At 39.0% G+C, this 12,383-nt stretch overlaps 1 annotated feature.

Annotated features, from left to right (window-relative positions):
* Positions 2,290-2,790: an enhancer, noted in NCBI's record as "H3K27ac hESC enhancer chr8:123118688-123119188 (GRCh37/hg19 assembly coordinates)". NCBI's record gives its function as "activates a minimal SCP1, AML or CMV promoter by ChIP-STARR-seq in naive H9 embryonic stem cells {active_cell/tissue: H9 hESC(naive)}" and the evidence as "EXISTENCE:reporter gene assay evidence [ECO:0000049][PMID:30033119]".

The raw sequence follows: 12,383 nt of genomic DNA, 5'->3' as shown, positions 1-12,383 counted from the left end.
AAATTATTCTAGATTTAACAGAGATTGGCTGGGTATGCTATATAGATTCTTCCTCTGGACTGTGATCTATTTTTCTCTCTCTGCCAGAAATATAGGCTACTGTTAAGCAAAAGCCGAGTCCCTCCCAGGTATTTAGGTTGGTGCAAAATTAACTGCGTTTTTGCCATTAAAAGTGGCAAAATACCTTTTGCGATTACTTTTGCACCAATCTAATAATACTTTTACCTGAAGGGAGCCCCCTCCCTGGATTGTATATTCCCACCCTCACATCTGTGTTCATTCCTGGACTGTATATTCCCACCCTCACATCTGTGTTCATTCCTGGATTGTATATTCCCACCCTCACATCTGTGTTCATTCCTGGATTGTATATTCCCACCCTCACATCTGTGTTCATTCCTGGATTGTATATTCCCACCCTCACATCTGCGATCATTCCTGGATTGTATATTCCCACCCTCACATCTGTGTTCACAGAGTGGCTGGTTGATGCTGAAATATAAGTGGGCCTTGTACTTCCACTTAAACTATCTCTGAACAGTCACTCCAGTTTCAGAGCTTCCCATGGATTTCTGAGGCTTCCTTTTAACTTGCATTGCAGTTCACCTTCTCTTTCTTCCCAGTCCCACTTCTCTCACATGAATTCAGGTGGAATCCCCTGGTTCATTCCACTCTAAAGTCCTTGCATCCAGATCTCCATCCAAAGTCCATGTTCCAAAAACTTGGGCAAGGATCTACGGCATAGATCAAATAATAATTAATTAATTATACGTAAGCACCATTTAAAACATGGTACAATTTAATCATTATATAGGAAAAGTAGAACTGATCTGAATTTGTCATCTTTTTCCATATATATCTTTATTTAAAACATTACGTAAGATAGTATGTCATATTTTTAAGCTAATATTGAGAACAATTGGTCAAAAATAACTAAACACCAATATCCATTTGTATACTGCTCTATAGTTTACTTATGTGCAAAGCATTTTACAAGTGTAGTAAGAGATATCATGAATTGCATCATATAGCCTCCTGAGAACTCTCAAAAATAAAATAATCAGAGAGGGAGGCAGAGAAAGATGGCCAAATAGAAGCCTCCAATGATTGCCACCCCCACCCCCACAGGAACATCAAATCCAACAACTATCCACACAAAAAAGCATCCTCATAAGAACAGAAACCCAGATGAGCAATCGCAATATCTGATTTTTAGCATCATATTAAAGAAAGAGGCACTGCAGAGGATAGGAAAGACAGTCTTGAATTGCCTACATCACCCTCCCCTCCACCCCACAGCAGATATGTGGCATGGAGTGAGAATCTGTGCACCTGGGGGAGGAAGAGCACAGGGATTGTGACATGTTGCCTCGGAGCTCAGCTATTGTGTAACAGTGGAAAGCAATACAGTGAAGAACTCGGTTGGTGGCTGACAGAACATTTAGACCAGTCCTAGTCGGAGGCAAATCATCCATGCCAGTGAGTGGAACTTGAGTTTGGGCAAGCCCTGCCATCATGGGCTAAAGTGCTCTGGGGTCCTAAATAAACTTGAAATGGCAGTCTAGGCCATATGGATTACAATTCCTGGACGAGTCCTGGTGCTGTGCTGGTCTCAAAGGCGGTGCACTTGGGGTACATTTGACCTAGTGAGGCACCAGCTAGGGCAGCCAAGGGAGTGTCTGCATCACCCCTCCCCCAACCCCAGGCAGTGCAACTCACAGCTCTGGGAGAGACTCCATCCCTCTGCTTGAAGAGAGGAGAAGTGGGAGTAAAGGGGACTTTGTCTTGCAACTTGGGTCAGCTCACTGACAGTAGAATAGGGTACCAGACAGAGTTCTAAGGCCCACATTCCAGGCCCTAGCTCCCAGATAGCACGTCTAGACACACCCTGGGCCAGAAGAGCACGTGTAGACACACCCTGGGCTTCCCTGAAGGAAAAGACCCAGTGCTGGCAAGATTCATCATCTGCACATTAAAGAGCCCTTGGGCCCTGAATAATCAGCAGTGGTAGCCAGGCAGTACTTGCTTTGGGCCCTGGCTCAGAGACTCAAAGAGACCCAGAGCCTTGCTGGCTTCAGGTGTGACCCAGCACATTCCCAGCTGTGGTGGTTATGGGGAGAGACTCCTGCTTGAGGAAAGGAGAGGGAAGAGTAAAGGAGACTTTTGCAGCTTGTGTACCAGCTTGGCCACAGTGGAGTACAGCACAAAGCAGACTCCTTTGGTTTCCCAGTTTCAGACTTTGGCTCCTGGATGGCATTTCTAGACCTGCCCTGGGCCGGAGGGAAGCCCACTGTTCTGAAGGAAGAGATCCAGGCCTGAAGGCATTTACCACAAGCTGATTAAAGAGCCCTCTGGCCTTAAGTGAATATCGGAGTAGCCAGGCAATGCTCACTGTGGGCCTGGGGCAGTGGTGGCCATGGAACAAGACTCTTCAATTGAGAAAAGGGGAAGGAAGAGTAGGAGGGACTTTGTCTTGTGCGTTGGGTGCCAGCTCAGCTGCAGTCGAATAGAGTACCAGGTAGATTCCTAAGGTTTCCAACTCCAGGCCTGGGCTCCTTGACAGGATCTCTGGACCTTCCCAGGGCTGAGAGGAACTCACTGCCCTGAAGGGAAGGACCCAAGCCTGTCTGGATTCACCACCTGCTAACTGGAGAGCCCTTGGGCCTTGAGTGAAGATAGACAGGCAGTGGTCACTGCGGGCTGTGGGCAAGACTCAGTGCTGTGCTGGCTTCAGGTCTGATGCAGCACAGTCCCAGTGGTGGTGGTGGACACAGGAGAGCTTATGTCACCCTTTTCCCAGACCCAGGCAGCTCAGCATAGAGAGAAGACTCCATTTGTTTGGAGGAAAGTAAGGAGACAGAATAAGCGTCTCTGCCTAACAAGAAATTGATAACCAGAATATATAAGGAGCTCAAACAACTAAGTTTGAAAAACTCTGTGAATTGGATTTAGAAATGAGCAAAAGATCTAAAATAGACATTTCTCAAAAATGGCAAACAAGTATATGAAAAGGTGCTCCACATCACTGATCATCAGAGACATGCAAATTTAAACTACAAGGAGATGTCATCTCACCCCAGTTAAAATGGCTTTCATCCAAAAGACAGGCAATAATGAATGCTGGTAAGGATGTGGTGAAAAGGGAAACCTCATACACTGTTGGTGGGAATGTCAATTAGTACAAGCACTATGGAGAACAGTATAAACAATAAGGAGTTTCCTTGAAAAACTAAAAGGAAATCAGTATATTGAAGAGATATCTACACTCTCATGTTTATTGCAACACTATTCACAATAGCCACTGTTAAGCAACCTAAGTGTCCATCAACAGATGAATAAAGAAAATGTGGTACATATACACAGTGGAATACTATTCAGCCATAAAAAGTACGAGATCCTGTCATTTGCAACAACACTGTACTGGGTACAGTGTGATGGCATTTGAAGCTCTAAAAAAACACAGTCAAATAGGATGCCTCTCCTACCTTCAAATATTCACCAAAAAAAACTATGTGTAGAAGGTTAAGATAACTGTTGTTATACTGTTTAATTTTACCTGGGATCCAAGGATAAGGATTTTATCATGAGCTAAATATTAACAACATGATAAAAAGAATATCATTGTAAAATACACTGTTGAAAGGTAGGATCCCCAAAATACTTCCTAGCACAATATAGTATTTTCTATTCCTCTACCAATAAAACTCATATTTAGACTACAAAGGAATCAAAGCAAGTGAAAATCAAGCTCTAAAAATTATCTTATTCAATTTTTAAAAGCATATTGAGAAAATATTTGTGGCTAAGAATCATAAGCATGAAAACATGAATAAAATAGGAGTCATAAAAATGCTTTTATTTTTAGACCATCATTGTCATATCCATATTCAGTTAAAACAGCTGGAAGATTCCAATGCAATTAGAAGTGGAAGAAAGAATGTACAGGTCTGGGCCGAGTCAGGATGATGTAGTTCATTATTAGCTTCAGTAACTGGTAATTCATTCATTCAACAGCATCCATTTGTTGATCTCTTTCAAAGTGTCAGGTTTTTTACCAGAAGTTATTTCCATCATAATCTTATGGAATCTGGGCCACAAATTTTTTTCAAGCAGGATGCTATGGAAGCATACTTACTTTCAGAGCCTTAAATAGCATTATGTACTAAGAAAAGATAGAAAGAATTTGGCTAACAATATTTTAAAGTGACAAGAAATTACTATTGATTTTTAAACATTTCCATATTTGAGTGTTTTTATATTTAGCTCAATTCAACTAACAACTATTGGCATTTATTATATGCAAAGTGTGATGAATAGGCTGTTAGATGTTCAAATGTGATTAAGACAAAGGTTATTCAAAGTTTATTATTTTTGAGGAAATAAAAATATATAATTTTATTAAAATATAGAATGTGATGAATATTCTTAAAACCTATATATGTAGACGTGCCTGAAATGGTTTCAAATGCCAACCCTGGAGAGATAGAATGATTAATGATGCAAAAGAAAAAGTAGGCAGAGAAAAATTTTGTTTTGTTGTTGTTCTGTTTCGTGTGTGTGTGTGACTAAGTGCAAGTATAATAAATCAAGACTTAATATCTGAAAATGCCTCTTTTCCTTACAAAAGCCAAGGAAGGTAATAAAGTCCACTCTTTTAGCAGAAATTCAAAAGCTGCTTCTGAATTTTTGGGTATCTGCTAAGAGCTATAGCTAACAATTTTGTAGAAAATAAAGGATCATATTTTTTCACATTGAAAAGATTTGAACTTAAGATGAAATTGACATCTATTGAGGGGAAATGTATATACAGAGTCTAAATTTTAGCTTTCTGTATAAAAAGGCTGAAAAATCTTGGCAACTATATTATTTATGATATAAACAAGTAATAATTCCAATACAGAAAGGTATGGAATATGGTAACAAACAAACTATAGTAACACACAAGCAAGTGAAACCAAACCAAGGAGTCTGGAAAAAACAAGTATAAAGAAAACAACTGTGTGTGTGTGTGTGTGACGGAGTCTCACTTTGTCACCCAGGCTGGAGTACAATAGTGTGATCCCAGCTCACTCCAATCTCCACCTCCTGGGTTTAAGCAATTCTCCTGCCTTAGCCTCCTGAGTAGCTGGAATTGCAAGCGCCCGCCACAAACACCTGGCTAATTTTTTGTATTTTTGGTAGAGATGGGGTTTTACCATGTTGGCCAGGCTGGTCTCAAACTCCTAACCTCAGGTGATCTGCCCACCTTGGCCTCCCAAAGGTCTGGGATTACAGGCGTGAGCCACTGAGCCTGGCCCCCGAAAGAAAATAACTTTAGGAAAAATCAAGGAGAGTGTGGAAAAAAAAAAAAGACAGAGAGATAGAGAAGAATCAAGACTGAATAAGGGAAATACGTTTGCCTTTAGACCATCGTTATGATATCCATATTCAGTTCAGATCAGCTGGAAGTTTCCAGTGCAGCTAGAGGTAGAAGACATACAGGCCTAGGACCAGTCAGGAAAACACAGTTCATAGCCATAGTGTGGTGGAAGACATTTAACACCAAGAATAGCTATACAAGTACTGGAAATGCCAAAAAGCCAGAGGAGAGTGAAACAACCCAAAGATTAACAACAGAAGAGAGCTGGTAACACTCCTAGCACTGGAGTGTTAAAAGAGGTGGAGGTGACAGTGACCATGAGCCAGCACCCTCTAAAAGCCAGACTCATGAAGCTGACTCAGCCACTGTTGGAACTGCTGCATGGAGCCTAGGGGAAGCAGTTCCCTGGACGGTCCCTTCCTTCCTGTCTCCAACCTATGGCTAACACTTCCCATTTGCTAGTTAAAACTATTCAGGAGCCAGAGAAATATAGTTTGCAGAGATCAGACTTCCGTGACACAGAGCAAAGCAAGGAAAGAGTGGGAAATGGATGTCAAAGCAGAGAAGAAGAGGAACACCACAGGACCAAAGACACCAAAACTCAGCAACGATCAGCAGTCCAATAACAAGTCTCTCTGGCCTTTGTGAGGAAACCAATCCGAAGGAGAAAGGATGAGTACAAAATGGATAGTTCTTAGAATAAAGTGACGAGTCAGGGTACAAAAATCTAGATATGTCCAAAAAAGCAGATACTTAAAGAATATCCCAGCCTACTTCGGGTAAGGGCAAGGTAACCTGAAATTAACCTAAGATAACTTCAGTTTATCAAGGAGAATTAGAAAGAGAACCAGGGGGCCCAATAAACAATCCCCATGAGCAAGAGTATGGGAATACAGAATTTAAATTGTGAAGAGACCATTCAAATAGCATTACCTTAAAAATAGGATATAGACAGGAAGTCAGAAATGTTAGTCTGAAGATTTCTTCAAACAGGAGATAGGGCATGAAAGCAACAAGATCTTTGTTAACCTTGCTCACTGTTGGAGAACTAACTTTCCATAGACCACCGTGTCAGGATTTCACGGATGAAGATTCAGCAGCAGTGGGAGCAAGAAGATGGCCCTTCGGCCGGGTGCGGTGGCTCACGCCTGTAATCCCTGCACTTTGGGAGGCCGAGGCGGGCGGATCACGAGGTCAGGAGATCGAGAACATCCTGGCAAACACTGTGAAACCCCGTCTCTACTAAAAATACAAAAAAAAAAAAAAAAAAATTAGCTGGGCGTGGTGGCAGGAGCCTGTAGTCCCAGCTACTCAGGAGGCTGAGGCAGGAGAATGGCGTGAACCCGGGAGGCGGAGCTTGCAGTGAGCCGAAATCGCGCCACTGCACTCCAGCCTGGGAGACAGCGAGACTCCGTCTAAAAAAAAAGACGGCTCTTCTTGCTGTGTGGTCTCAGTATACAGAGGGGCAGAGAATACATTGAGGTTAGGTGTCTATGAGTTGGAGCTTACTTTGGTTAACTGCTTGTATATGTGTCTATATTTATATTTAATAGTACCATTTTGGGCATCCGTTGTAGCTAGCTTAACATAAAATAATTAAAATATGAACTTTGGCGGCCAATATCTAGTGTGATACTAGACATATGGTAATCATTAATACATGTAAATTAATCACATAGTCTCAGGAAACTTTATATGTAATTTGATTCCATCCTTGGATTTCTAATCAAATGAGGATCCTTTATTTTATGTATTTGAGCTGCTGTAAAGTGGGACTACTATTGAGTTTCAGGGTAGATTAAATGACATAAAAAGAAAATGATTTAAAATAATGCCTTGTTGATAGTTAAGTACTTGACTGTGTATATTAGGTTTTTTTAGATTTTATATCACCTTTTTGGTATTTTACTAAAATTAAATATATCTGTTCCAAATAGAGAACTCCTTGATATATTTGATCCCAACTTGGTGCCCAAACTAGAAAAGGCAAATGAGATAAACGGCACCCTTTTTAGCATCCTGCCTAAACAAGGCTCCATTCAAGCATCTGTGTATTCATTCAGCAGCTGCTCCATTTATACTCATGACACTTAAGTGTCTATGTTTCCTGAACCTCTGGCATGTACATTAAACTGCCCATGAGACATCTTCCCATTTGGATGTATCCACCTCACACCCATCATTTCCAAATTGAAACTTAACCCCTGTGTTATCAACTCAGGAAAGAACAGCATCATAAACTAGTTCTCAAGTCAGAGTTACTGAATTATTCTTGATTTCTAAAATAGTCACTTCTACTTCCAATTGTTAACCATATACTTTAACTCTACTTGCTGTATAATTTCAAACAGCAAGCAACTCACCTTTATGTACCCCATTGCCAATACTTTAATGCGGAATACCATAATGACTTGACTAGATTACTGATGCAGACTTTCAAATTATCTCCTATTCTTTGTACTGTACTGGTTTCCCTATGCACTATTATATTTTCTTCACTTTATAACCTGAGTGTGGTGTTTGAGGATCCATATTTGATTATGCCATTTTCATATGTAAAGCTCTTAAAATGCCCTTGCTTTTAGAATAAAGTTCATGCCTTCAGGATAAATCTTCCTTGGCATAGAATATAAATAGCTATATGCCCGCTGCTTTCATCTTTAGCCTCATCTCATACAACTCCTTATCTTCTACTCCAATCTCCAGTAACACTGAACAAGAATACTCCAAGCTGGCATTCTCTTTCTCTGGAACATTCTTTTTATTTGACCAATCCCTTGTAACTGTCTAACTCCTGAACACAATCTAAAAGGAGAAGAGAACATAGCTAGGGAGAACATCTGAAAATTTATGGAAGTAATCTAGGCAGGTGGAAAGGATTTGTGGTCTAGAATGCTAGTGCCAGAGATGGAGTATAAAGAAGAAATCCTATGAGAGCTCAGTGGATTCTACTGAAAAGTAATGAAGAGATGAACTTCCAAGGGAACACTAAGGTCCTCTGCTTGGGAAAAATACTGGTGACATTAGGAGCAATATGGAAATTGAGACAGGAACTCTATGCTGGTCTTCCTATCTGTAAAATGAGAATGATACTGTCTGCTTTACACGTATCCTACAGGGTCATTGTGAAAATAATATAACAACTGTGAAAGTGCTTTGAAATAACACATTTCTATAAAATTTGAAAAGGCTTGATTTCGTGAATTGGCCAGGCCCACACCATGCTCTTAGGACTCTGGCATTCTTCCCCCTCTCTCTTCCCCTTTCCATGAGAATCTTCTTCTAGAATGTAGCACCAGTAGTAAGTTCTGCATAGACACAGAGGGTAGCTGCTGCCAGAGAAATTACGCGAGCTCTTAAACTTTTCCAATTGGTACTCTTTACCAGAAATGATGGTATTATGGGTATATTGACAAATGGAGTTTTTTCTGGGCAAAAGAGTTTTTTTCTTTTAGGTGATTAAATAATACTTGGTGCTAAAGTACAATCCTGCAGAGTATACCTGAAGCGAGAGTACAGGACAGTTAAATAAGCTGCTCAACTGCTGTACCAGCCTTCAGAGGCAAGAGCAGAAAACTTATGCCAGATTATTCATTTGGCTACTTTTCAGCCAGTTGAGAGACTACAAAAGAAAAATTATGTCACCTAGTGGCTCTGTATTACAGACACACAACTATGACAAAAGAGAGCAAGGAATTAAGGAACTATTTATTCATAGGTAAAGATTTTTAAATTGTGGAATGCACTGTTTTAACTCTGTTTCTGATACTTCATCCTTGGGGGCTAAAACATGCAGTGAGCTTCTAAAAACAAATCTGAGATTTTTTCAAGCTACGTATCTATGGATCGATTTGTTAAAACACCGATTTAAAAGCAAAAGATATAAAGTAGATGTCTCTTTGAAGATATTATATTTTAGAGTCTCATAATTTCTCCTTTCTATTCAAAAGAAAGTGAAAAGTGTAGCTAATTATAATTAAGTAGACAGAAGAAAATACGAACTATAGAGGAAACTAATCAGACATTTAATTCATGACCATCGCAATAAAAGCTCAAAATTAAAGATACTTCAAATAAAGGCAAAACCTGAAACAAACAAAACAACTCTATTCAGTATTTTCTATTGTACAGTAGCATTATCTTTCATTGTATTATGCCAAAATTAAATCAGACAATTTGAGTGAGAGATTTATTGAGTTCCTACGGCAACAGGTATTACTCTTGGATTTGAGGAAAGTGAGAACAATGCAGACGTGGTTTCACTATTCACAGAAATCACTTCCAGCAAGAGAAACATAATAAACAAATTGAAGACCAACAGGAAATATCTATGCTGTTCTAGATGAAAAATATAAATGTCTGTTAGTGTAGCAGTGGAAATACAGTGATCAGATTCAGGATCTATTATCCTGGATTTTCCAATTTATTAAATGTACAAATGAGAGAAATACATTAGTCAAAGATGATAGAAGTTCATAAACAAAGAAGAAAATATGGAAAAAATTCAAATTATAGTGAGAACACAAAAGAAAATCCAATTAAGCACAAGAACAACATAGATGTTTCCTATTGGTCTCTGTGCCATATTGCAGCCCTTTATTCTATCATCCATGTAGGAGCCATGGCATCTTTAAAAAACAATCATTAAATCATAAGCAGTACTGATTAAAATATAATGGTATTCCATTATACTATATTCAAATATAATGCCCTAAAATAACAGAGTCCTGTTGTACTGGCTCATCTAATCTTTCTTTGCTCTTCATTCTATGAGTTGATTTTCAGCCACACTGGCAGACATGTGTTCTAACACAGAAAACATTTCATCTGCTCAAGGCCCTTTCCCTAGTTAAGCTTTTTGTTTGAAATGCTCTACTACTTTTTTTTTTTTCATTTCTTATTTATTTATTTATTTATTTATTTATTTATTATTATACTTTAAGTTTTAGGGTACATGTGCACATTGTGCAGGTTAGTTACATATGTATACTATGCAGCCATAAAAAATGATGAGTCCATGTCCTTTGTAGGGACATGGATGAAATTGAAATGCTCTACTTCTTATCAATCTGGTCTCTCTCTGCCTCAGAAAGATCTTCCTTTACTATCTTTGGTGAAGCAATGCCTCTCATTCCCTCTGGCAACCACAAATCACTTTCTACCACTTAACCTACTTACAGTTTCTATACAGTGTTATCAGTCCTTGAAGACATTTATTTGTTTATTATGTTTCCCTTGCTAGAAGTGATTTCTATGAATAGTGAAACAATGTCTAGATTATTCTCACTTGTCCTCAAATCCAAGAATAATGCCTGACATGGTAGGAACTCGATAAATTTCCCTCTGAAATCTTCTTATTTAATTTTGGCATAACACAATGAAAGATGATGCTACTATAAAATTGAAAACAATGCAGTTTTGTTTGTTTCAGGTTTTGCAATACTTCATTTGTCAGGCTTACTATGTATTAGGCAGTCTGCTAAGCACTTCATTTCCCTTATGTACTTCAATTTTTGCAACACCCTAGAATTGTATGCTATCCCCTAGCCTTCCCTTCATCCAAAGATAAATTTTTAACACTTCTGGACAAATAAAACATAAGCTTCTTGGAAAATGTTTGTTTAGGGAATACACTGGAGCTGTTCTTTCTTCTTTCCATTTTAAAATCCAGGAGTGAGTGTGATACCCAAATCTGTAGCAGCTAACCATGAGTAAAGGATTAAGAAAATCTGGATGTCACTCTGACATAGTTGAGCTGTTGACCTGATGCCAGCAGCTAGCTATCTTCAGACTCTTCGTTATTTGAAGAAAAAAATAAATAAGCCCTTATTTGTTGAAGATACTGTTGGATCTACTTGAAACCAAAATTATTCTGACATCATCCAGTTGTCAAGGTAAAAACAAAAATCATGCTAATGAATTGTCTTTATTCCAAAGAATAAACTTGGCTGGGTGTGGTGGCTCACCCTTATAATCCCAGCACTTTGAGAGGCTGAGGCAGGCAGACCACTTGAGGTCAGAAGTTCGAGACCAGCCTGGACAACATGGTGAAACTCCATCTGTACAAAAAATACAAAAATTAGCCGGGCATGGAGGCACGTGCCTGTAGTCCCAGCTACTCAGGAGGCTAAGGCACAAGAATCGCTTGAACCCAGGAAGTGGAGGTTGTAGTGAGCCAAGATTGCACCACTGCACTCCAGCCTGGGTGACGGAGTGAGACTTTGTCTCAAAAATAAAATAAAAATTAAAAAGTCTTTCCAAACTTATTTAAAAAAGAATAAACTTGCAGATGTATGTCCATGTACTTTATACATGTATATCAAGTAGGCATCTGTCTTTCTAAAATGAGTTAAAGTGCAATGAAGTGTCCCATCCTTCAATTTTGGTCATTCCATAATGGAAATATCAGTACAAATTAACATTCCTTTGGGCAGTATTTCTCAAATTTAAGTATTCTTCATCATTCCCTGTGAATATTTTGCAAATGTAAACACTTTAAAATAATCCAGTATATTAAGATTTATATAGATGAACGAACTAATTCTGAAATATACTGTAGCCTGAAAAATCTCTAAATTTTGCATAGCATAATTATATGTAGATCTTCACTTTGATAACATTACACCAAAGTAAGTTTTTTTTTTTTTTTAAGAGATGGGGTCTTGCTATGTTGACCAGGCTGGTCTTGAACTCCTGGCCTCTAGAGATCCTCCCACCTTGGCTTCCCAAGTGCTGGAATTACAGGCATGAGCCACTGCGTATGCCAAGGGAGTATTTTATTGGATTAATCAATTGGTTCTACCTGAGAGGGAGACTGTAGGAGAACTAGATAGGGCTTGGTAAAATTCAAATAAACATTATAAAGTGGGGCATAACATTTGTAGATCATCTCTAGAAAAGGGGGCTTACCTTAACAGCTGTTAGCAACAAGTACATAGGAGTACTGAATGGAACTAGGAAATAGAGGAGAGGCTAGTCGACAATCTACATTGCTCTTGCTCTTGCTATTTCTTAGCTTTTCAAA

The sequence above is a fragment of the Homo sapiens genome, chromosome 8 (genome assembly GCF_000001405.40).
Source record: "Homo sapiens chromosome 8, GRCh38.p14 Primary Assembly".
NCBI lineage: Eukaryota > Metazoa > Chordata > Mammalia > Primates > Hominidae > Homo > Homo sapiens.
Note: the sequence above shows the minus strand (reverse complement) of the source record. Positions and strands in the feature narration are given on the sequence as shown.